Genomic DNA, 25,908 nt, shown 5'->3' with positions numbered 1-25,908 from the left:
AAAAATAATAATAATTTCTTTTGAAAAAGGCACTTTACCTTTAAGAAATCATTCCTGAAACAGCTGAGACTCCTAGGTTTGTTCTAGGGAGGCAAGCTGTAAAAACCGTTGTTGCTAGGGCATTGTATACAGATTTCAGTCACACAAGACCCAAATGAGGAAGTAAAATTTCAGGGGGAGCTATTTTAGTTTTTCTCCCAATGGGTAAGCTGATAGGGTGATTTCTGTTTGGGAAAAGACAGTAATTCATAGTTATAAATTCTCATGCCTTATCTGCCCTATTTGACAAAACAAAAAAAGAGAAGAGAGATTGGAAACTGGCTAGAATAACTATGGCATTTCCTTTTTATTCATTTAAACAGCCTAAACTGGGTAAATATATACAGTTGAGGCATAGAAAAACTATAATGAGAAAACACTGGATAGGACTTTTGGTGCCAAGTTAGTTAGTTTGAGGACCGTCTCCTCTGAGAAAGGGATTAACACTGGAGTAGGAGGAAGCTCCACTTTTGGAGAAATTCCTACCAGTTATCAGTAAGCTTGTGTCTCTGTGGAGGGATCTGCTGTTTCCACATTGGTCTCTTGGCAGAATTCAGCTCCTTATAGTTGCAGAACTGAGATCCTAATTTCCTTAATGGCTGGCTGTCAACTGAGAGCCACTTCCAGCTTCTAGAAGCTACTTACATTCCTTGGCTCATGGCTTCCTCCTTCCATCTTCAAAGCTAGAAATGCTGGGTTGAGCTTCTCAAGTTTCAGATCTCTCCTTCTTCCAGTTCATTTCTCCATCCCAGCTAGGAAAGGTTCTCTGACTCATGTGATTACATTGGGCCCACCTGGATAATCCAGGTTAATCTCACCATCTCAAGCTTGGTGCCTTAATCACCTATGTGAAGTTCCTTTTGCCATGTAAGATAACATATTACAGGTTCTGGAGTATAGGAGGTGGACGTCTTGTGGGGGGCATTATTTTACCTATCACATAGCCAATGCCAGGAGTACCCACAAAGCAATGGCAGATATTGCTGAAGTTACAGAATCCAAATTTACAAATATATCATATCTATAATGGCATAGTTATACCTGTTGCACCTCCCTCCCTACAGTGATAGCAAGGCTTCTCTCTTTGATCAAACTCAGTGGCATGGATGACTGTCTGAATAAATAACTTTTTCTTACCAATATTCTTCATTACATTCTTAGGGGTCATGTATGTGCCACTCAGCCCAATCTGACCATCTCATCTGTACCTACAGAGCTTATTTAACCACCTTCTAACTTCTCTCATGTGAACACACATATCCTCTTTATCTCCCCTATCTAGTCTCCTGATTTTTTTCTGATTGCCTCATGGAGGAAGAAACATCCTTAATCTTTTTCTCCAACCCTTCTTTGTTTCATTTGTAAGCTGATCATTCTAATGTGAAGAAAAATCTAGCAAACAGCTTATTCCCAAGATGTAAGTCACTTCTTCATATTTGACTAATTTTAAATGGCAATGAGGTTGAAAGAAAGTGAAGCTCAAAACTCTCACCTTGAAAAGTCAAAGCCTGGACAAGCATGATATGTCTTTACATCTGTGCTAGGAATTTTATACTTTTATATCATAGAAATCTCGCAGCACACTCCATACATTGGCAGTTTGAATGGCTCTGCCACATGCTTTGTGTTAATTTATTTAAATTCGATCGTTGCTCCCCAATTTCTTATTTTTAAAGTACAGCAGGATGCATTGAATGACTGCTAATGTCATCCATCTATTTTCTAGTTAGATTTTAAAATCAGTATACTGAAAAACAAGATGCTGGCCAGAGGCAATACTCATCTTGTGCTTTCTACCATAAGTGAGTTAGAAGGTTACCTTAATTATTAGCACCAATCAAACTAATTACTACTGGAGGCAATTACTGAGATAAAGTCCAATCTTAGCTTAGAACCAGACCAAACTACAAAAAGGCATGGCATTATTATAAAGTTAGGGACCACTTTGTCCCCATGAAACATTTTTATAACAGAAGTCAGTGGGGAGGGTGTTTATAATAACAAAACTATTGGACTAACTCAAGTGTCCAAAAAATGAGGTTGGTTAAATAAATAAATTATGGTGTATCCACAAAAGGGAATATCTTGCAGCCATTAAAAATGATGCTGTAGAATGATATTTATGACATTGAAAATTGTCTTGCTACATTTAGTATAACAAAATTAGAACACAGTACATATATTATCCAAATTGTGAAAAATAACCCTTATGATAATCCTAATTATGGAAAACAACATAGATTGATACACAGAAAAATCTTAAAGATAGGCACCAAAAATATTTGTGTAATCATTTTTTCTTATTAGTGGAGTTATAGATTATTTTATTTTTGGTATATATGATAATGGATATGTATTACTTAGAAATTAGTTAAAGTTAATATTGTTTGTTATAAGTCAATGGGCAATAATTCATCTAACTTATTTCATAAGAAACCTAGATTTTTTTAGAGACGAGAAGCTGATTCTTGTGGTCATTTAGCAAATATCCCTGCTTAAACACCACCAGGTCCACAATCTTTAACATTTAGGAGTGGTTTCACCATTTTACTTTATGTATATGTCACAGTAACCTCATGAAGTGAGGTAGATAAAGCAAGTAATAATCAGTTTTCCCTGGAAACCAGAAGTACATTTGTAAACCAGAGGTTAGAAATGTCGCCTTTCTTTGAAGTCCAAGAGCAGCATTATCTGCTACTGCCAGTCTGTATAGGCTCAAAACTCCAAGGGAAAACCTTTTTTCCCAACAACTTCCTGACTTTTTGCCAGTCTAGGCTCAGCCAACAAGCTCCGGAAGGCAGCCAGCCGATTGGGAAGTAGGTGCAAAGTGACAGTCTGTGGGGAGGACAAGGACTCACTCACCACATTTATAAGAGTTGCGAGGCCGCTTCTTCTTCTTCCATTTCCATAGAATTAGACAGAAAACCATCACACATATAATAACTGTTGGAAGTACAGCTGTAATCCAAGGAATGTGGTCTGGGGGAGGCTGAGGGTCCTCAAGCTCTACAAATGACCACAAATTTTCAATCAGCCAGGAGAGTCATTTACAAAAGGTTTCTGCTAGCTGCTCTTCTCTTTATTTACCTGCCAGCCTCTCCCCAGGGCTCTAAGGCCAGAGAAGCCTGAAATCCACAATAGGAGGCCATAGAAAGTCCCAGGCTCAGGGCCTCAGCAGCGACCTAAGAATCGAGCCCATGCCTCTGGCCAAATGCCTGGACTGAGCTGCCATGCCTTCATGGAGGTGGGGATAACACCGACCATGATCAGGAAGAAGAGGGTCAGCCTGGCCCGTGATTCTGGAATCTGGGTGAGGTGTCTGTGCTGAGGCTCTGCACGTGCAGTCATTTGTGCCGTGCCTGCTATCCTGCCCCCCTCTGCAGTCAGTTCCCAGGCCCTGAAGTTCCTCTCGTGATGATTCTTCTGTCCACTATAATCTCCAGACACCTCTCACTTGGACAAATGGAACAGCTTCCACAGGCCCCTACCTCTAGTTTTCATTTGCTTGTTTGTTTAGTTTTTTCCTACTGAGGTCACAGCAGGTTTCCTCTGCATGGCTTTCAGCATATCTCATCTACTGAAAAACCTTTGATGTTTCTTCATGCCTTGAGGAACCTTCACGCCTTCAGGAACTACTTCCTTACATGAGAACTCCTAAGTTTCTGGGGAGTTGGAAAACAGGCTTTGTGGGGAAAACTTAGAACGGAGTCGCCCACTTTAAAGACATTTTTGGGAACAGTTCTGGTAGCTAATCCCAAATTTCAGGAAAATTAGGACCAGCTGATCTATTAGCTTAGCTATAATTTGTAGACACATGCCCTGTTTCTGGGATGTTAAGAAGTTGTTGGCATTGCAGGCCATATTTAATCCCTTTTGAGTCTGTCCCAGTCTATTCCACTTGAGCCAGTTTGGCACTCCCAGTAAAGGGGGTTAGGGGTTATACTTACTAACGTGGAGGCTGCTACCTTTTAACATGCAAAAAAGGCCCCTTGACTCAGGGTCTAACCTATCTCTGATCAAGCGATAGAATGGGAAACCCAGAGAGGCAAGCCCCATCTTCCTGAGGCAGCTAGAGCTGAAACATTTCTGAAGATGGGGGTACCTGTTGAAGTTTGGCAGAACAGTAGTTGAGAAGCAGCAGGAAGGTGAGCCATGATGAGGTTATAGTGGTGGCAAGCCCCTGTTAATTTGTAGACTATGGGAGCCGTAACAGAGGGCCCTGGGGCATGTCATATATGGCCATCTTGTGGCCACCAATCAAACTAATTACACATTGAAGGAGGTACTGAACTTCAGGCATAGCTTGGAGAGGCTTCTATCTGGCCAAGAGAGGATACAGGAGAAGCAACTGGGACAGGACGAGTTGGCTCCACCATTTACTGGATTCTCAGAGGCTGAAGTGTCTGAATAGGAAGAAGTCAGTAGCAGGAGATGAGATTGGCCCAGTTGTAAAGTTGGTTCATGGGGACTGGCCCCGTGGGCTGTTCACAGACCAAGTTATATCTGAACAACAAGACACTGGGAGAAAGGAGGTGACAAAGCCAGGGTATGGAGCAAGGAGTTGGATGGATGTCACTGGAGGGGGCAAGCCAAGAAATCACCGCTGGAGAAGGGGTCAAGGTAAGAAGAAGGCAGATGTGGGTGTCAAGGTCAGCACAGGCAGTGATGGGACAGGGTAGATGCAGACCACCTTTATTCCAGGAGGGAATCTTGCAGTTACAGCTTCTTAAAAGAGGAGTCAAATATAGACACATGCCCTCCTGGGTAAAGCCAGGACTTTAAAATGTCAGGCTCCTATTAGTGGCTACTGCTTAGTTTCAATCCTTTCCTCCACTGAACTTGTCCCTGAAGAATACTTGTGAACACACAAGCATTTCTGCCTCCAAGGCTTTCTTTGACATACCTCCTGCACTTACGTCAGATACAGCTGATCCACTGTGGTCCTCTCACCTGCTTAGCCCAGATACTGTCTCAAATTTTTTCAGCTACGGAAGTCACCACAGTTTTGGGAACCTGTCATCCAGAATGCCCTCCCCTCCTCACCACATTTATTAACCCCAATAATTTATTTTACATGTTACAAGGTACCCCTTCCTTTAGGAACCATTCCCTGACCCTCAGGGATCTTGCCTACCTCTGAATGCCCATAAATCTCATTACCAGTCACTTTTATTTTAAATTTAGTCAGATATTTCCATGGAATAAAATTTAGATTCCAATTCAACCTTTTAAAAATCCAGTTTTTCATGTGTGCACATTACAGGGTTCTGATTCTATTGGAAGGTCCTCAAGGGCAGAGGGGGTGTCATATCTTTTTGTTTTCACTCCTGTGACCAATAATGTCCCAAATGGTTCTATACTCACAATAAATATCATTTGTATGTCTGCATGTATGCATGGTGTGTGTGTGTGTGTGTGTGTGTGTGTGTGCAAGCGCATGTATGTGTTGTAATCAAAGAAAGAATTCTAGCCTGGAGGAATCCTGTATTTTTAAATCAAAACTTCAGAATCCTCCATCCAAAGGTAAACCAAGAGACTGAGTCAGTTTCAGGGCTAAAAGCATATTTCTTCAAGTGCAACATAGGCTCGTAGCCTCCTGGACCCTGCATCACTCAGGAGAAGCAGGAGACCTCCATCTGGGTCCTTCCTAACAGCGTCATAAAATGGCCCAGTTGGAGGTTTCCTAGCAAGTCGGGGACATTGGATGATCTGCCTTAAGCATTTGTGTATAATACCTGCTGAAAGAAATAGTCTTGGAAAACAGCTTTACCTATAGAGAAAGGTGAAGATAAAAGCCGCGTCTTGTCAGTTTCCAGAATACAGAAGATGGTCATATTGCTCGTAACATCAGGGAATGAAACAGACAAGCTGATGGAAACGTCGTACAGTTCTGTGACATTATCTTGAGATTTCTGCATAACACCATCATACTCGATAGTTGAATTCTTGGTTCTTAGCAAAACACTCATCTTCTTAGGTTCTGGGTAACCGTGTATAGATGAGCAGGTCAAATTTATGTACACATTTTCTGTTATATTAGAAATTGGTACTATTTCAGGTTGACTGAAGTTAGCTGAAAGCAGAAGAGAGATAAAAAAAAATCAATCTAAGTTTAGATGTATCTAGGAGGGAATAGCAAATAACTGGGTACTTGATCTGGGGCTCATTGGGGCACACCTGGGAGCCTCAGGGTGTCTAAAATGTGACCCTCAGCCCAAGGTGAGTGCCACATAATGACTTCATGTTTATTTTTCAACAATAGAGTTTGCAGCCATGCTTACTTCCTGCTTATCCAAATCAAAGGGGTGCTCTCTAAGTGACAGGAGGGCTGTAATTGAGTCACCAAAGATTTACAATGAAGCCACTGTTTCCAGGGAGTAGAGTCTTTGGAAGGAGAAGTGGTCTGACTCTAGGGCCCAGGTGTCCCATGGGGCACATTCCAGCTCCCCAGACTAAGAGAGCAGGAAGGAATTGAGCTGGAGTCTCACCAGGAACTGACAGAGTTCATGGTGCTGAGATGCCCTGCGTCATATCTTTCAGAAACCCAAGCAGGATTGTGGTAAGTGAGTGGGTGGATATTTTGGAATTCGAAATTCAGAACACTGATTTTTGGCATGAGCATCAAAGTGTCTTCATAACATACTCTAAGAAGAAGGCCAAATCCAGCTATTTTAGGGAAAAATACATGATCTTAATAAACACAGTGTTTCTCTTGCCTTTGCCATTCTCACTTTTCTGGCTGTTCAGGATCACTGGCATGGAGTCCCTAGACCTGTGTCATGTGCCTTCTGTCAGAAAAAATCCCTTGTTCTTTTATAGTTACTAGGTAGTTTGCAGGTTCTACAAACTAATTTATAATTTAGTGTATTCTTACTAAAAGGTCTGTCATTTGCATGTCATCTTTATAAGTTTTGCTATATCAGTGTACTATTTGAGCAGTCTTCTTGGAGTCTATGTGGCCTGTAGAAGGTGAATTGCCAGACCGTGTTTAGCTTCATTAACAAGATCTGTGAAATCACATGTTGCGTAAGTTAGAGTTTTTCTAATATACATTAAAACAAATACAACATGGCTTTTCAAAATGCTTATCTGTGTCCCACCTAAAACATTTCCAATGGTACCTGACCACATTTTGAAAACACGGATTTAGCACTTGGTTAACTATTCCTAAAGCCCTGCAGCCTAGTTTAAATCACACAGGGTTCAAAGGGAGCAGCTCTCCATTCTATTTTTACTTTTGCTTCTGTTTTACTCTATGGTTTTAGAATAGGTGTTGATCTGCCTTTTCAAGTTTCATCAAAAATTAACCTGGATCCAGTAATACCACACCTGGGTATTTCCTCTAGAGAACTGAGAACTTATGTTCACACAAAAACCTGTACATGAACGTTTACAGCAGCCTTATTCATAAGAGCCCCAAACCAGAAACAACCCAATGTCTTTTACTGAGTTGAATGGATAAACAATAAAATGCTACTCAGCAATAAAAAGGGACAAGCTCGATATGTGCAACAACTTGGGTGAATCTCGAAGGCGCGCTAAACGAAAGAAGCCAGGCTTAAAAGGTTACATACTGTGTGGCTTCACTTATGTGACACTGTCAAAAAGACAAAACTATAGGATGCCCAACAAGGGTTATGAGTGCAGACAGGGTATGACTCTATGAAGGGACAGCCTGAGGGAAATTTTTAGGGTGATAGAAATGCTCTATGTCCTGTGGCGGTTACCTAAATCTATACAAGATCTATACAATCAGTAGAACAGTATATCAAAACAAAAAAAAATAATTTTACTGTGTGATAGTTTTAAAAAAATCTGTAGTGGCATTTAGGCCTTCCAAGGTCTCGTGAAGCAGAGGAGCTGGTTTGTAAGTTTGTGGGTTATGTTTGTTGGGTTTTTTTCCCTTCTGTCTACCAGGCTCATGGTTGTGGCAGCAAACAACTCATAAGCAACCTAGAGGAGGCTGAAGGGAAAACCCAAATGTGTCAGCTGTCCGCTTTGCTAGGAGCTCCAGGCAAAGATTTAGTAGGTGAAAAATCTTGGACCCAAGGAAAAAATGAATGTAAGACATCTGAGGCCTTTATGGTTATATAAACTTTGTGATGGCCAAATTATCCATGGTTTTTACTATAGGTAATTAGCCATATTATCTTTGTTCAATTAGCTCTATTTTTTCCCCAAAGCAGATTTTTACTGATCCTTCAGAAGCAGACTATAAAAAGTACAAAAGACTTTCAGTTCCCTACTCCCAGACTCTACACTCCCTTCAAATGCACTTCCCAGAAGTGGCTGTCCTCTGCCTTCTCTCTATAGACCCCCCTTTTCCCCTGGGCCCCTCAAGTCCCCCTCCAGTGTTTTTCTAACTCATTTGCAGTCTCATCTGAGAAGGCTAAGAATCTGAACACACACCATTGACCACATACCAAGCACTGACAGTTCAGAATTCATCTGGTGGATGCGAATCATTCCTGTGGGCTTTTTGTGATGGATGATACATTGATACAAGCCCTTGTCCTTGATCTGAAGATTGTGAAGTCTCAGGGTCCAACTGTCCGAATCAAAACTTGTGCGGCCCATATACTTGGAATGAACACTGTCAAATTTCTCTTTGCCTAAGTATACCTCATTCAGAACCAAGTTTTCCTGGTCCTGCCAAAATACTACTAGCTCACTCAGGCTTTGGTTTTGAGAGTTTGCAAATTGGCATGGCAGGTCTGCAGTCTCATTGAAATAAGCTTGAATCTTCAGAGGAGCAGCACCTAAAAAAGAAGGTTAAGGATTAGGGAGGGAGAAACAAGAGGAAAGGGGAAAAAACCTCCATTTCTCTTTATACAATACCCAGATACTATCTTATCAGTAATCATGCTGAAGAATAAGATATTAAGCTCTGGAACTGTGCACATCTGCTTGGCATCTGGAGATTAGGACCTTTGTCCTTGCTTCACCGCTGACTAAATGTGTGGCCTTGTACAAACTGCAATCTTTATGAGCCTCAGTTTCCTCATCTGATTAATGAAGTGGTTGACTAAATGTTCCAAGGGTCTTTCTAGTACTGTGGTTCTGTGAATTTAAATTGCAAGACAGGGAAAAACCAGTAGAGTTAGACAACCCATTCACCCACCAGTTACCTTCCTATAACCTTAATTTTAGTTTTCATCACTGTAGCTGTTACAGGTTCCATAACTTCTACACCATCACCAAAAGCTTTCCCCTCCCCTCCCATCCACATATTCCTTGGTCTGCTATGGTGAAAAGATTGCTGATAATGGTAATAAATTATAGCCCCCCTTTATTATACTTCATTAGTTGGGGAATCACGTTGAGTAACATCTTTGAAATTCAAATAGCTCCCTTTACAGAACTTCCCCTATGACTGCTGCTCCCATGGCCAGCACTTCCAAGGATGTCAAATGCTTTAGAAATGACTTCGATAGTGAACCAAGGCCTTTATTTTCAGTGACCTCTCTAAGCTCTTTCAGAGATCAGAAAGAGAACTGGGCAAATTTGATGGCTGTTTTCGGATTGTGGTGGTCAATGACCATTTAAGGCACATGAGTGAAATGCTGAAAATGAATCATAGATGGGCAGGTGAGGATGTGCTTTGGGAGTATTGGGGAAACCCCAGGCACCACAAACTTGCTGCTCCCAGTATGCACTGACCCTGGACAATTTTACAACCATAGACATCATGCTGGAAGGGTTGAGAGAAAGGCTTTAGTCCTTGAGGACACTTTGGGGTTTGTGGGAAGGATGTGGGCCACCCAACTACTTAAATGTGAATGATCACGGGGTTTGTGTAGGACCTTTTCTAGGTTACAGAATTACTTGAGACTTGGCAAAAAAAAAAAAAAAAAAAAAAAAAAAGTAAGCAGTGGTGGGTGAGAAGTGCGGGGGTGGAGAGTGGGAAGGCTGTTTCTTACTTAATATGAAGTTAGATGCCACCTTGGAGAGGAAGTTAGTGTAAGTTCTAAATAAAATTTCATCATTCAGGATTTATGTGAAGGCATGTTGACATTGAGGAGGAAAGGGAGGAGATGGGTTGATGAGAGAGATGAGAGGAGCTTCATTTGAAGAGTTCTAAGTGGGGGAGTAATTAAATTGATGTGGTTTCTCTTGAAAGAGGGAATAGAAGGACAGATAACAGTGACATGCACTTGTCAAACTAAACTGTGTACAGAGTGGCCCAGTGAGAACACATAATCAAGGGGTTGGTGGTGGTCTTGAACTCTTAGGGAAGCAGACAGCAGGCATCAGTGGGAGTTTGCACAAATATGAATCACTGCCTATTTCACTACACTCACTAGGACCCTGTGAAGTACTTGAGGTATAAAATGCACCACCTGTAGAGGATGCGTACCGGTATTGGAGGGAGGAAGGAAAATCTATATGCGTACCCTGACAGTGAAAGGGAGACCTAAGGAAGATTTAGTGTGTTTATGAATCACCTTACAAGGCAAACCTGAGGCTTCTGCATCTTCTTTGCTGAGCTCTTAATGTAATGCAAGAGTGCCCCCTACTGTAAAAGCTTCTAGCATTGTCTCTGAGGAAATACTGGTTTTAGTCTAAATTGTCATGTAATATAGGACAGATGACCTGATGGAGAAACCAAACACACAGTTAAAAATTCTGCCAATTAACAGTCAATGTTATGTTATTACTCAGCTGTCAGTTGTGCCTTCTGGACCTGGAAATGACTTCGTCTTTAGCTGCTTCTGTCTTCTTGATTTACATATATATATATATATATATATATATATTTTTTTTTTTTTTTTTTTCTGTAGAGCCTCACAGTATCTTCTTTCCTTCCCATCCATTCTGTCCACTCACAGACCAGTCTAACTCCGCTGACCCAGGCCCCTTCTCCCAAAGATTACAACGGCTTTCTCTTCCACTCATCGAGTGCTCCCTTCTTCACCTAGCAACTGAAAGTGTGATGTATGGACCAATGAGATTCACGTCACATGTGGGCTGGTCTGAAACACGGAATCTCTGGCCCCACCCAAGACTTACTGATTCAGAACCTCCATTTTAACAAGAGCTATAGTTTGAGCAGCTGTTGTAGAGAATCTCTGCCTCTGTCTCCAGAGTGGATCACAGAAAATGACATGAAAATTTTTTTTCCATCCATCCCTCCTCAGACTCCCTCTCCTCCCCATGGGGTGGAAATCACTTTGAAATCCATTCTGAGTGGAACTGAAAGTATTTTGCAATTTATACTCCATAGCACCTCACCAACCACTGGCTTCCATGATCTCACACAGAGCCAGGCATGGGGGATGCTGCTAATCCTTTCTCTGACTAAATGGGGAAAGTTTGGCTCAAGGTCTGTGATCACCAAATGACTTCAGGCCTTCCATTTTATGACCCCAGACCTCAAGCCACCTAGCAACTGGACTTACTGGGATTCCATAGGTGGGTAAGCATTGAGAATCTCTCCCTTCCCCAGCACTTGGGTAAGAGGAATGGTCGAAGTCTAGTTACAATGGGTTGCTATGATGTCAGGAACAAGTCGCTCAAGAATCCAGCTAGATGCCTTCGTAATCAGCTGAAGGAATTTGTTTCAAAGGATAATTAAGGACTTCCTGAGCAATACACTCTACTGTTGGAATGCCACTCAAAAACTGTAATTTGCTAGCCTTATGAAGTCTCTGACCCCACTGGGACTTCAGTGTTCCCTGGCTGCTATCCCCAAATGCATATCTTATATGTTTAAGAATTATCTCTTCTTTATGTTCCTATGCTTATCTGTACTAAAAAAAATTCCTTCTTTTACTAAACTTCCTCCAAAGTTTTACTTGGCCCTTTGAAAGCCTCATTCCATTACTTACTACAAGGAAACTCTCCCACATCTTTAACCCCTTCATTGACTGTTTCCCTGAGGTTATTATTTCAGTGAAATCTGGCTTCACCCAAAGGAAGCCACTTGCTCCAGCCCCAGCTACTGTTTGTTTTATCACACTTTGTGGGGACTTTGAGCAACACCTTCCCCTTTTGAGGTGTCTGACTTTCTCATTGCTTGTAGCTACTAAGTCACTACCACCTTGCTAAATGAGGATTTTGGCATTAGATGCAAGGTCTTGCTAACAATTTGGGTGACTTCTTCATGAATGAGTCTAACAACCTTGCCTCAAATTTCTTTGATCTTGTCAACTCCACAGGTCTACACCCGCAGACTATTTCAGCAGCTGCCCCCCACCTTCTTATGACATAACCCTGAAACTTTTCACCTGGAGCAGCTCAGTCCCTAGAATCTTAATCTCAATATACTAATCTCCGTCCACAACCTCCTATTCATCCAGGTTTTGCTCTTGCTTACTCCTTCTACAACTGTTGTTCAACTTAATCAAGACCTCAGCTTTATCCAGACCCTGTAGTGCAGTGTTTTCCACAAGAACTCTTAGTGATAATGGAAATGCTCTGTCTCTGTGCTGAACAATATGATAGCCACCAGCCCCTGTGGCTATTGAGCAATTGATACATAGCTAGTATGACTGAGAAGATGAATTTTTAATCTTATTTAATTTTAATTAATTGAAATTTAAGTAGTCACATATGGCTAGTGGTTATTATATTGGACAATGCAACAATAGTATGTCTTTGTAATTATTCCTTTCCACAACTTCAATAAACACACCCCTTTGTCTCTATAAAATTTACCCTGGGGACACTCTACTTTTGGTCTACATATCTGTTCTTACAACTGGGCAATTGAGCAGTTCTGGAGGAAATTATTCAGTTGTGCGGACTGGTGACATTCCAAATCTGCAGTGTCCTGTCTCACTTCACTCGGCCTCCAGGCTATTCACCTGGTTCACCTCCATTACTTCAAACACAAACCTTGTGCTACTGCTTTTAGTTTCTCTTTCCCTTGGAGTCAAACTCCCTGAAAGAGTAAGCAGCAATTGCTGCCTTTATTCCCAGCCTCCCACCCCCACCTCTCTACTGAAACTCCCTGACAAAGGTTGTTGGTGACTTCACACCATGGCCAAGGCTTGAGCTCTTTTCAGATCTCAACTCATTTGACCGCTGTGTCAAATGCAAGTGTTGGCATCTCTCCTCATTGAAATGCTCTATTCTTTCCCAATCTCTGATTTCCTTGTTAATTTTCTCAAATCACTCTTTAATTTTGGTAACCTTGAGTGCATGTTCTTGGTCTTCTTATTCTCCATACTTTCCTGGTTTTTCTCCTCTAGCCCCACGGATTCAACTGTCAAGTAAAAGCTAATAACTCCCAGGTGCTTATTGCCAGCCTATAACTTTCACTAGAGTTTCAGATACCTGTATTCAACTTCCTGCTGGATGTCTCTATCTAGATAGCAACAGGTACTGTCTTCCTCCCCTTCAGCCTTCCTCTACTCTATCTCAAGGAATGCTCCCCTGTCTGGGAATGACCAGACAACCCTCTTCTGTCTACAATCATCTAAATCATCTGTATAACCAAGATGAATCATTTGTGTACCCAAAATACCCAACAGAGGCTCTACACAAGTGTGTCTGAGGAGATCTAGAACTACTACAGCCAGAGCTGAACTCCAATATGTTAAGAAAAGGGTAGAGGAGACTAATGTAATTGTCTCCTAACTCATCTGCCTGCTCCGTCCTTGTCCCCGGGTCTAGTTTCTCAAGCCAAAATGATCCCTTAAAAATACAGCTCCAATCACATAATCCTCCTGTTCAGAAGCCTCTGATGCCTTCCACCAAACTGAAAAATATATCCAGATCCCTTCCCCTCACACTGAGAACTACATCCAAAGTCCTTCCCCTGGCCTTACAAGACCTCATGTAATTGGGTCCCCAGTACCTATCAGGCCTCTTTCCCCTGCTTACTCTCCCCAGCCACACTGCCTCCCTTGACATTCCTCCAAAAGATCACACACTCTGTCTCAAGTCCTCTTCTCATGTTGTTCCCTCTGTCCAGAAGGTTCTTCCTCCAGACAGTCTCATAGCTTCTCCTTCACTTCATGTAGGTCTTTCATTAAATGCTACCTCCCAGGGAGATTTCTCTAACCATTCTATTGAAGATAGCATCCTGGGCATTCTGTCCCTCATGCTGACTTATATTTATTGTGGTACTTATCATGACATGACATGACACGGTATGTTTGGTTATTGTCTGTCTCTCCTGAGATGTCTGGGTTCTGATTAAAAATCTATGTGTGATTTTTCAGACCTGACCACAGGCAATTAAAGAGGCTTAATCTGACAAGCCTTGCTGAGGAAGTTGCCCTTTCTACAGCAGACTTGGTGCACAGTCAGTGCATGGCAGTCTCTGAAGGGGGCTGCAATCAAGATCTCAGCCTCCCGCCAGTCATGCTTTTTCACATACTTGCAATCTTAGCCCAGGCACCCTCATTCTTAGGTCTCTTTATCTGAGGCTCTGGGGTGAGGTCTTCAGGCACCTCTGCTGAAGCCTCCTCATCATAGAGAAGACACTTTTCTCCACTCGGACTCAGTACCTAGCACTTTTCCACTCCCTGCCTTGAAGACACTGTTTTCCACTCTGACTCAGTACCTAGTATTTTTTCCACTCCTAGCCCTAAAGACACTATTCCCCACGCTAACTCAGTACTTTGTACTTTTCCACTCCTAGCCCTCTCACCTCATTTTCCTCATGAATTCTCCCCACCCTTGGATTCCTCCACCCCCAGGTCCATAAAACTGCTAGAGCCTTTCATTTGGGGCTTCTTCAATGGTAAGGCGACCCCCTAAGTCTGCACTGATTACCTGACCCTCGACTGGTATACTCACTCTATGTGGGGAAATGGAACAGGCAGAGTCTGCCCTTCCTCCCATTTTAGCCTCTTGATTATACCGTCGTAGTAAGAGATTAAAAGCTGAACTATTTTATTTTTGTTTTGCTGCTATAATTGGCTCCTCTGACACCTGACAACTCAGCTCTCTCTCTCCCAGCTCAGCTGAGCACCTGACATCTCCCATTAGAATAAGCTCCATGACAGCAGGGGCTTTGTCACTTTTCCTCACTGTGACATTTCCAGTACCTGCAATTGTCCCTTACAAATATGAAGCACTCAATAAGTAATTGTTGAAGAAAGGAAAGGAAAAATCTCAAGAATAACTAGGGAAATGCAATTTAAACCTCAGTGAGAAACCATTCTTTTTGCCCATTTGATTGGCACGTATTAAAAAAAATACTGGTAATACCCAGTGTCCGCGAGAGTGTTAGGAAAATGGGTCCTAACTGCTGAATTTACTGCTGGTAAAATTCTAAATTGGTACAACCTTTTTGGAGGACAGTTGGTAATATGTAAGAAAATTAATTATGGGCTTAAGCATTGACTTAGCAACTCAATTTCTTAAGAATTCATTCTACAAAAAGATACATGTGCACAAAATTAGAGGTACACAGGTATTCATTGTTTATAAGAACAATACACTGGAAATAAGTTAAATGGTTTAACAAATAATGATACATCCATACAAAGTAATGCCATGTAGCTGTGAAACAGAAAGCTATAGGGCAGTACACTATTATAACTAATAGCATGGATTCTGGACAGCGTGAGTTCAATCTCAGCTCAACTACTCACTGCCTGTGTTACCATAGGCAAATTACTTAACTTCCCTGTGTCTCAGTTTCCTCTTGCAAAAAGCAGGAACAATAATGGTACCTACCTCATAGGTTTGTTGTGAGGATTAAAGAAATGAATATTTGAGTTAGTGTTGGATCAAATACTGGCCTGTGGTAAGCATTAATTGATTTACTTGTTTTTGTTTTTTTATTTATTTTTAACATTATTAATGATAGAGAACAATGTCTATCGACATAAAATCAATAATTTATAGATAAATTTACTCAAAAAAAATTTAAATAAGTATATTTAGGATACTTAAAAAGATATTTGAAGTAACATCAAAAAGTACAAGAAATTATAAAACATAAAAATAGATAGGCCATGCCTATAATCCCAGGACTTTAAGAAGCTGAGAAGAGATAATCACTTAAAAGGAGTTCAAGACCAGCCTGGGCACAAAGCGAGACCCCGTCTCTAAAGCAAAACAAAACAACAACAAAAAAAACTAGCCAGGCATGGTGGCATGTACTTATAGTGCCAGCTATTCAGGTGGCTGAGGCAGAAACATCTCTTGAGCCTGGGAATTAGAGGCTGCAGTAAGCTTTGATAGCACCACTGCACTCCTCTAGCCTGGGTGACAGAGTTTTTTGCTTCCATAAATCTCAACAGTACTTCTGGGGACAAAATACCAGGTTACATATTTTGGAAATGGTATTAAAACTCCCCTCTCACAAAGGAAAAATAAGCCACAGTCTCTCAAACACTTGCTTCTTCCAAAAAAAATGTCTGCTTGCCTTGGGAGCCTCTCTGTTCCATACCAATTTCACTCTTGCTCCCAAACAACCCTATACACATCCTATTCAGTGACTGTCTTCCACTAAATCAACTTGTCTGATTGCTCATTTTCTCTGGAACCCACTAAAAGCCCTCCTGAAACAATCAACTAATTTGGGGGTAAGATACTCCCTACTAGATAACATATATCTATTTTGAAAAACACTGAAATGGTGGCTTAACATAAAGGGGTGAATCCAATAGAACTATTAGGCTCCATGACAATTCTTTGGGAATGATAGGTCTCGACTGTCTATTCACCTCCAGGTGATGGTTTTAATGAGGGCTATCAACAACAGCAGGAAATGGGAGTCAAAAGTAACCACCCACGCAGATATCTGCAAAAATCTTGGGAGGAAAACAGTGGACCTTTCCACAGGAATGAGCTTTTGAGCCAATCTTACATAAATCTTAAGGTGGGCCGGGCGCAGTGGCTCATGCCTGTCTGTAATCCCAGCACTTTGGGAGGTCGAGGCGGGCAGATCACCTGAGGTCAGGAGTTCGAGACTAGCATGGCCAACATGGTGAAACCCCGTCTCTACCAAAAATACAAAAATTATTTGTGTATTTTTGTATTTTGTGGTGGTAGGTGTAATCCCAGCTACTTGGGAGGCTGAGGCAAGAGAATCACTTGAACCTGGGAGGCGGGGGTTGCCGTGAGCCAAGATCATGCCATTGCACTTTAGCCTGGGCAACAGAGTGAGACTCCATCTCAAAAAAAAAAAAAAAAAATCTTAAAGTGAAGAAATATTCCAACTACCACTCCAGGTACATGAAATTAACTAGAGGTGTTGTTCAAGAGAAATGAGAAAGCCCTAGGACCCAGAGAACCCTCAGACAAAAAGAGAGCAGCTACCAAAACTCAAACTGGAAAGATACTTCCTCCTGATGTGGGAGCTACTGATTTTTCAAAAACCTCTCTGGCTCCAGCCTAAAAGTGTGATGGAGGTGCCAGGACAGTGGCAAACAGAGCTTGAAAGTTAGAAGTGCCTCTGCAGGTGGCACTAGGAATTCCTTTCGCTTTGTAAATACAAGGCACAAACTGTAACCTAATTCTGCAAGGCCACAGGTGCCCGTTTCAGTCTTAAACTCCCATCCAATTTTATCCTCAAGAGCAGGGGCAGCAAATACTACTGTGTCAAATTTCCATGACAGAGGACACAAAATATAGGGAGGGAAAAGTTAAACAGAATTGCTTCACTGTATTGCTATTTCTATGCCATGAAATGAATTATTCAGCTCTACATTTTGAGGGTGGATTATGTGGGCCAATTGCATCTCCTTTCTCCCTTTGGAAGCCGGCCCTGTGGCTAGGTCACTGTTCACCAGCCCAGTAAGCAGAGGTGTGCCCTGAGAAGAAAGAATTCAAATAGAATCTGATTTTTTGTTGCTTTTCATCGTGTGTGAATTACTGGCAATGTTATTTTCTGATCTGATGTCATGGGCTTTCTATTCCACTTTAAAATTGTACTGCCAAAAATATAGTCACTTATTCTCTCACCACCATAAAACTTAAACGGTTACCATTTGAGGTTGTTGCTTTCAATATTGGTAACTCTTTTCTCAGGAGCTAAGAAACTTCTAAGAAGTGTCAATGGCAAATCAAGGGCAAAAGTGACACCTGAACTCAGTTTTCATAGAGTGTCTCGGCTTTACTTTCTCACTTTCAGTGTGCGGAGTCAGAAAATTTGGTGGGAAATGGTGTTCCAGTTTAGTGTTTTCTGGAAATGTGTTTCCAGGGCATTTTTCTTCCTTCTCTCCCAGATCTTGAGAGCTGGGCTGGTCACTTTGATGAGAAGGGCTTGGGCCCAAGCTCTTGGGTCAACTGAGGTGTCAGCTGCAGGTGATGGGGAGGAGGCACTGGATGAACACGGATGAGGCAGAAGCTATATTATCCACCAAAGCTGTTCAGGCCCCATGGAAGAAGTCTTACCACTTATTCATGGTTTACCACAAGAGTTAGGAGAAGAGTCAAGTGAACGAATGCTAAATCTACATTGCTGGGTGTGAATCCAAGCTCTGCCACTTAGTAGCTCTGTCGATCTTGGGTAAATTACTTCATCTCTCTGGGCTTTAGTGTCCACATCTTAAAATGGGAAATAACAACAAGACCTAAAGCAGAGAGTTATTGTGAGGCTCAAATGAGTTAATATTTATGAGGTACTTAGAACAGTACCAGGCACAAAGTAAGGGATATATATATATATGCATATACTGTCATGTATTGCACAGCCACATTTCAGTCATATACAATGGTGGTCCCATAAGATTATAACACCATATTTTTACTGTATCTTTTCTATGCTTAGATATGTTCAGATACAAAAATACATACCATTGTGTTACAACACCTACAGTATTCAGCACAGTAACATGCTGTGCAGGCTTGTAGCCTAGGAGCAATAGGCTGTGCCAGGTAGCCTAAGTATGGAGCAGGCTATGCTATCTAGTTTTGTGTAAGGACACCCTATGATGATTATACAATGACAAAATCGCCTAATAATGTGTTTCTCAGAACGTACCCCTGTTGTTAAACGATTCATGACTGTGTGTATATATGCATTTATCAAATAAATAAAATAAGTCATGTGCGATGGCTCATGCATATAATTCTAGCACTTGGGGAGGCTGAGGTGGGAGAATTGCTTGAGCCCAGGTAATCGAGGCCACAGTGAGCTGTGACTGTGCCACTGTACTCCAGCCTGGGTGACAGAGAAAGATGCTGTCTCAAAAAATAAAATAAATAAAATAAATAAATAAGAAGTGGGATGAGAAGGGAATCTTACTGGATAATGTTCTCTAGAGTCTTCTTGCCTTGCTCTCTGACACACACATACCTCCCACATCCCCAGGAGCTAAGGTAGCAGGTCATGGGCCCTGGGGGTTGGAAGCTGCTGTTGTTACCTAAGTCAGTGATCAGCTGGCACATCTACAGACCTTGCACTCAAGGACTCCACAAGCTCAAGGTGCTAAGCAGAAAAACAGAAATCTGAAAAGGCTTATCCCAGCCAGCATGGATCTGAGGGACCATCTCTTTGTAGTTCCCTGACTCCTCATCATCCACAGCAGACATGGGGACAGTGGCCAAGGGCCTGGTGTGTGGCCATCTGGAGGAGGTGAACTCATGGCTGGTGGCCTGTGGGTGCTGTAGCCAAACTTCAGGCTCAGTTCACCTCCCTGTCTTAGTGGGGTGGCTTCCCTCTCAGGCCTGCAGGTGGAGACAAGGAGCAGCAGGAAGGGGTGGGCCAGGAGTAACTACGAGACACTGAGTCACAGGATACATGGCAGGGACCGCAGCCAACTCCTGTTTATAGATGAAGAAACTGAAACTCAAAGTGGAACTGTAAACAGGGAAGATCTGAGTTTTGTGAGGCTGGATGCTGTTAAAATTTTGAGGGGAGGTGGTGGATAGTTAAGAAAAAGAATGTAGAATTCAAATACAAAATGCCCCTGACTGCTAACACCACCAGACAGGAGAATGGCATGGAGGGAAAAGTTGCAGAGGAAGGAGACAGTGGTCATAACTTATTGTGGTTACAATATCTTACTTATTCAAATTTTACCAAAGCATAAGACAGGTGACCACACTGCTAGGGGGCCCTTCACAGGGTCTTGAGGGGGATTTAGAAAGGGTTGTGCAAATGGAGGGCTCTGAAGCTTCAGCTTCATTGGCTCCACTATAAATCAGCTGACACAATTAGCTGAACATCCATAGTTGTCAGGAAGCCGTGGCAACCATGAGGTATGTGCATGGGCTGTAGGGAAGGGAGTGAGAGAGGGTAGGGAAGTCAGGGACGTGAAAGCCAGTGCTCCGAATGAAGGGAGACTTTTGGAATTCTGTCAGTTGTTTCCTAGGAGCCTGAGAAAGACAGAAACAGGGTCAGAGAAGACCAGAAGAGAATATGTGTGGAACAAAAGAGTCAAGTCTCAGGGGCCTCAGTGCAGCAGCCTTCCCCCATCCCCATGGGATGGGCCAGGCTACCCTACTCTGAGCATCTAGGCTCACTGATGTGAGACTGCAGAGGAGGAAGAAGCACACGGGGGGGAGAGCTCCATCCCAGCTGCCTGCCATCAGCTGCTCTCAATCATAACACTTCCTTCTTCTCCAGGAAAGTCTTTTTTGCATGTGGTCTTGTACAATGCTCAGTAGAAAGTGAGTAAAACCCACCAAGTCTCAGGCCTGGGCTTGCTGTGGTCAGACTCATCAGGAGACAGTAGGATTCCAGGACTTAACAAAGCTGAAAGGTTCTTACCAGAGAGCAGGAAGGCCATCACAAAGAGAATGTTACTCAGTCCCATAGTGCTAGAGTCGAGAAAAAAAAAGGTAAAACTTGATTAGAAAAGGAAACTGAAAACCGATGTTCACCAAAACATGACCTGGACGTGGAGTTTGGGATTCACTTGGGTTCTCGGGTGTGCAGAGACAATGCCAGGGCTTCATCAAAGCCATTTCCTTTTGCTCTTAGCTCCATCGATAGGTCACATTTCCCAGCCTCCCCTGCAGTTATACAGGCCATGAGACTGGCTTCTAGCCAATGGAATTGTGGGCAGAAAAGATGTTTCTTCCAGATCTGGCTGCTAAAGTCTCTTCTCTTTCCTCCCTCTCCTGCCTTCTTAGCAGCAGGGGATCCAGAGGAAATGTCCAAGGGCCTAGAAAATCGCAAAGTCTCACAATGGAAGAGATCTGGTTTGCTTAATAAACTAATAAAGCAGCTCTCTTTACACCTCTCCCACAACTGATCTACAATGGATTGTGATATTGGCAAAAAATAAAATTTGAGGGATTGATTATTGCAGTAGCTAGTATTATTTATCTTGACCAACATAACAGGCATGATGGGGGCAATCGGTTAGTATTGCATTTACGCTTAGAAATCTGCCTTCCTTTTGTTTTCCTGTGGTTCTCAAACTTGAATGTGAGTAAAAATCACCTGGAGAGTTTCCTGGGCCTCAACCACAGAAAGTCTGGCTTAGTAAGTTGGGATGAAACCCATGAATTTTTATGTTTAACAACATAAGGTGATGACAATGCTGCCGGCCTAAGGACCACGCTTTGAGAGCAATTCACTTAATCTACATGATGAAGCCAAGAAAAAGGATATGCTTTGCTTTATAACCTCTATCTTCTTTCTTCCTCTCCCTCCTCCCTCCTTCACTACCCACGCACTTACCCTAACTAGCACCAAAAAGGCTGCTTAGTGGCTTATAAGGAAGCAAAGAATAAGGAGAGGTGACCAACATTAGATGCGATCAGGCACATTCAGGATGGTATGGCCATACACAGGAAAGATGACCAACATGAGAAACAGGTGGAAAAGCAAACCAAATACAGGAATATGATACAGAGCCAAGGACAAGGCCAGTGCTAAATGCTTGCCCTAGAAATCTGCCCAATTTGCACTGAGGGGGACATAAATTTGGCTTATAGCTTTTTAACAGCCAATGTAAAAAGGAAAACCTAACCAGTGAATTAATTCACAGGTCTGTCCACTAAATTCATAGGTCTGTTGATAAAAACAAATCAATTCTTTCCAGGAAAAGATGCACAACTATTCTTGATCGAATAGCAGAAATGTATGCCCCAGACGGTGTTGTCTAGAAGCCATATGTGTTTCTTTCCTCTGCTCTCATAGCACCCAGTGCAGGACATTGGGCTAGAAGTGTCTGTTATGTTTTTTTTCCTTCTAGACTATACCTTTTCTTTTTTTAATAAATATTTTTGAATAGATCATGGTACTAAATGTAGATGGTACTAAATTTGAAAGATAAAGGTGATAAATAGTGGAAAGCAAGTCTGCCTCCCAGCCTTGTCCCTTAGCTGTCTAGTTTTCTTCCACAGAGGTAACAGGGGTGATCACTGTTACATGTTACCAGTTTCTTGCCTCTACTTAAAGTTACTTTAGACAAAACTAAACAAAAACATTGACCCATATTCTGTTTTCTTTTTATTTTTAAGCACAAATGGTAGCATACTATGTACGGTTTTGCACACATATGACTACCTTGGAGATTATTCTGTATCAGCATGTAACGAGTATCCTCATGCTAAAAGTTGCATATTAGTCTATTGTATTCTATTGGATGACAATAATATATATATATTTCCAGACCACTAGTGATGGATACTTAACGTTGTTTCCAATCTTTTGTTGCAATGGAAAACCTTGATTATATGCCATATCACACAGGTGGGAGTAAGCTATATTCCTAGAAGCAGAATCGTTTGACCAAAGGGTTGAAGAATAGTTGCAAATTGTTCTCCCCTGAGATTATACGTTTATGCTCTGATCAACACAAGAGTGCTTATTTTCATGTACCTTTTGCCAACATGTTTTCTAATTTGTGATCTTTAGCAATAGGAAATGGTGAAATTACATCTCATAAGTTTTAGAAATCTTTGTTATTTAGAAATCTTTATTAGTTTATGAGATTATACGTTTATGCTCTGATCAACACAAGAGTGCTTATTTTCATGTACCTTTTGCCAACGTGTTTTCTAATTTGTGATCTTTAGCAATAGGAAACGGTGAAATTAGATCTCATAAGTTTTAGAAATCTTTATTAGTTGTGGCATAATACACATAAAATTTGCCATCTTCACCTTTTGAGTGTACAGTGGTATGAAATACATTCACATTGTTGTACAGTCATCACTACATCCATCTTCAGAACTCTTTCATCTTGCAAAACTAAGCCTCTATACCTATTAAACAATAACTCTTCTTTCTCTCCTCCTCTCAGCTCTTGCCAACCACCATTCCACCTTCTGTTTCCATGAATTTGACTGCTTAGGGTATAAGTAAACTCATACAGTATTTGTCTTTTTGTGACTGGCTTATTTCACTTAGTATAATGTATTCAAGGGCCATCCACATTGTAGCATGTGTTTGAATTTCCTTTCTTTCTAAGACTAAATGATATTCCACTGTATGTACATACTACATTTTGTTTATCCATTCATTTTTGATGGACATTTGAGTTGCTTCCACCTTTTGGCTATTGTGCATAATGCTGGTATGAACAAGGCTGTATGAATATCTCTTTAAGACTCTGCTTTCAGTTCTTTTGGGTATATACCCAGAAGGGGAATTGCTAGATCATGTGGTCATTCTATTTTTAATTTTCTGAGGAACTGCTACACTATTTTCCATAGCAGCGACATCACTTTACATTCCCATCGACAACTGGAACAAGAGCTCCAATTTCTCCACATCCTTGCCAACACTTGTTCAATTCTCATATTCTGTGATAAGTAGGTTGCTGTTGGTGATTTAGTATGAGGAAGCTCACAGGAATCAGACAGAGAACTCTGTTCCCATACTCTGCGCTTGTGTGGTGTCAGCTTTGGCTCAATAGGTAATGCCCAAACTCTGAAATCTATTGGCTGGAAGGGAGGGAGACAGCAATCAGGAACCAGCTGTTCAGCTCTTACATGGAACACCTACTGTGTATTTCAGCAACTGAAAATATTTGCAACTAGTCACAAAGTATTAATTTTCTATGTATAAAAGAGCTTCTATAAATCAATAAGAAAAAGGCCAAAGACCCAAACTAAAAGCGGGCAAAAGAAATGTACAGATAGTATGTGGAACTGGAAATAACTATCTCATACATTTGAAAAGATGGTCATACTCAAAATAAAAGAAATTCAATATAAAATGACAGTGAGAACAACTTCCTACTCATTAGGCTGGCTACTACAAAAAAAAAAAAAAAAAAAAGAGGGCCCTTTGAATCTGAACTCCCACCTAATATGGGAATCGCTCATGGTTTGCAAACCAAAAAACCATTATGTTCGACCTAACCAAAGACAATTTTTCTTCTGGGGTGGCATGACAAACAGGGACACAAATCAAATTATATTTTACTATAAATTTAACAAATCACCTTTCATTCAAATAATTACATGAAATCAGTATTGCTCTAAGGAATCTTGGACAAATGGCCCCTGTAATTCACACAGTGGGGAGAAGCACTGACCCTGACAAGGAATCAGTACCATTTTTGATTTCTCAGTTTGGAAACTCTCTCTTCCCCTGGGTTAGAAGCTGCTTCTCCTTACCTTCCTTCCGTCAATACTAGTTTTGTCCTCTGAAGCTATCCAGAGTAAGCCTAACACACTTCTGCCAAAGTCTGTCAAGGATTTGGTGACAGCAAACACATCTCTCCTCAAAATCCTGGCCTGGCCCAGGAGTAACAATCCTTCCAGTAAGCTTCACTAATGTTAATTTGGAGACCACACACCATCCTAGAAAACACTCTGGACACTTAGTTTATCAGTGACCCTGCTGTAATAGGATGTTAAAATACTCAAGATTGATATGATTTTCTTTCATGAAGTACAAGTGCCCCATATGAAGAATTTCTCTCCATTCTAGCCATGATGTGTGATGTGTGTGTGCGAGGGTGTGGGCTGGGTTAGGAAGCCAGTTTCTCCAATGTCATTGGCCGTGAAGAAGTGTAGAAATGTCCCCACTCCCTCAGGAATGAACCTCCAACCACAACCAGAAGCCATAACTTTCTCCAGTGGGCCTGTAAAGTGGAAACTCTTGCCTTCGGAGGGAGAGAGCAAAAAGGGGAATGGAAGAGGAAAGAACCTAAGAATTTACCGGGGGGATTCTCTGAGAGGAGATTTCTGTCAGCTAAGCACAGAATAAGGTCTATGAATAAGGTGGGTGAACTAGTCAGAAATCTAAAAAGAGGAGCCTCCATGTAAATGGAGGTTCACTCCAGAAACCAAGAAGAGCACCTGCCGTAATCCACTTTCACTTACTTTGTATGTCTGGCCCATCAGAGAACATGAATAAGAGTTGGCTAAATGATTAATCATATTATTACTGCTCACAACAGGGTGAGATTATTTGTCCCCATGTTACAGATGAAGGAATGGAGTCTCAGAGAGGTCACAGTACTTGCCCTAGGCTGCCCAGCTAGTAAATGGTACAGCTGAGATTTAAACCCATGCAGCCTGTGTTTCTTTCACACACTGGTGTAGCACGTTTAAAAATGCCAACCAGTTTTTGCTCTGCCACAGGAGCCAGTGGAAAGGACTCTGATGTTATCTAGCCTCTGAGACAGACGGGAGCAGCACAGCCTAGGGCCAGGTGTGATGGTGGCTCCTGGAATCGAGAGGACTCTCAGAGAGACAGACTGGGGTGGGAGAAGAAGGGGCCCCAAAGTATCCCTTTGCATCAAGAGGGTTTCTGCCCTGAGCTGCTGTTCATTCTGCAAACACTGCTCGAATACCCACTGTGTGCCAGGTACAGAGAGTACTTCTCCACTTTAACCTGGACAGGCACCAGCTTCCCAGCGTGGATTTAGGCTTCAGGTGCACACTACTGTGGACCATCTAAGCCATATCTAGAAGAGCTCTGGGGAAATATGACTACTTGGGCAGAAAAGGAAGGAACTAAGAAGGGGTATCTTTGTATCTGAGGTCTGAAGGAGCATGTGGGCTCTCATTCAGGCAAAGGGCAGGATGAGGGAGGTGGAATGGCAGCAG

The 25,908-nt window shown here is 41.9% G+C and overlaps 1 protein-coding gene across 5 annotated transcripts in view, besides 3 other annotated features; it reads right to left on the bottom strand.

Moving 5' to 3' along the window:
- The window catches only part of CD86 (CD86 molecule), a 65,775-nt gene that overhangs the window by 8,827 nt on the left and 31,040 nt on the right, over window positions 1-25,908 (bottom strand). For 2 of the 5 annotated variants that reach the window (NM_175862.5, NM_006889.5), the window contains exons 2-5: window positions 20,660-20,709; window positions 8,463-8,798; window positions 5,810-6,112; window positions 2,902-3,045 (exon numbers count right to left, since the gene is read on the bottom strand). In NM_175862.5, the coding sequence (NP_787058.5) occupies window positions 2,902-3,045; window positions 5,810-6,112; window positions 8,463-8,798; window positions 20,660-20,709 (833 nt within the window). The remainder of the gene's footprint in view (window positions 1-2,901; window positions 3,046-5,809; window positions 6,113-8,462; window positions 8,799-20,659; window positions 20,710-25,908) is intronic. The other 3 variants (NM_001206924.2, NM_001206925.2, NM_176892.2) reach the window with 3 other exon arrangements.
- Window positions 7,949-8,018: a silencer, noted in NCBI's record as "silent region_14639". NCBI's record gives its function as "represses an Ori minimal core promoter by ATAC-STARR-seq in GM12878 lymphoblastoid cells {active_cell/tissue: GM12878}" and the evidence as "EXISTENCE:reporter gene assay evidence [ECO:0000049][PMID:35858748]".
- Window positions 11,061-11,250: an enhancer, noted in NCBI's record as "active region_20364". NCBI's record gives its function as "activates an Ori minimal core promoter by ATAC-STARR-seq in GM12878 lymphoblastoid cells {active_cell/tissue: GM12878}" and the evidence as "EXISTENCE:reporter gene assay evidence [ECO:0000049][PMID:35858748]".
- Window positions 19,817-19,926: an enhancer, noted in NCBI's record as "active region_20363". NCBI's record gives its function as "activates an Ori minimal core promoter by ATAC-STARR-seq in GM12878 lymphoblastoid cells {active_cell/tissue: GM12878}" and the evidence as "EXISTENCE:reporter gene assay evidence [ECO:0000049][PMID:35858748]".

The sequence above is a fragment of the Homo sapiens genome, chromosome 3, assembly GCF_000001405.40.
Source record: "Homo sapiens chromosome 3, GRCh38.p14 Primary Assembly".
NCBI lineage: Eukaryota > Metazoa > Chordata > Mammalia > Primates > Hominidae > Homo > Homo sapiens.
This window is presented reverse-complemented; position numbering and strand designations above follow the sequence as displayed.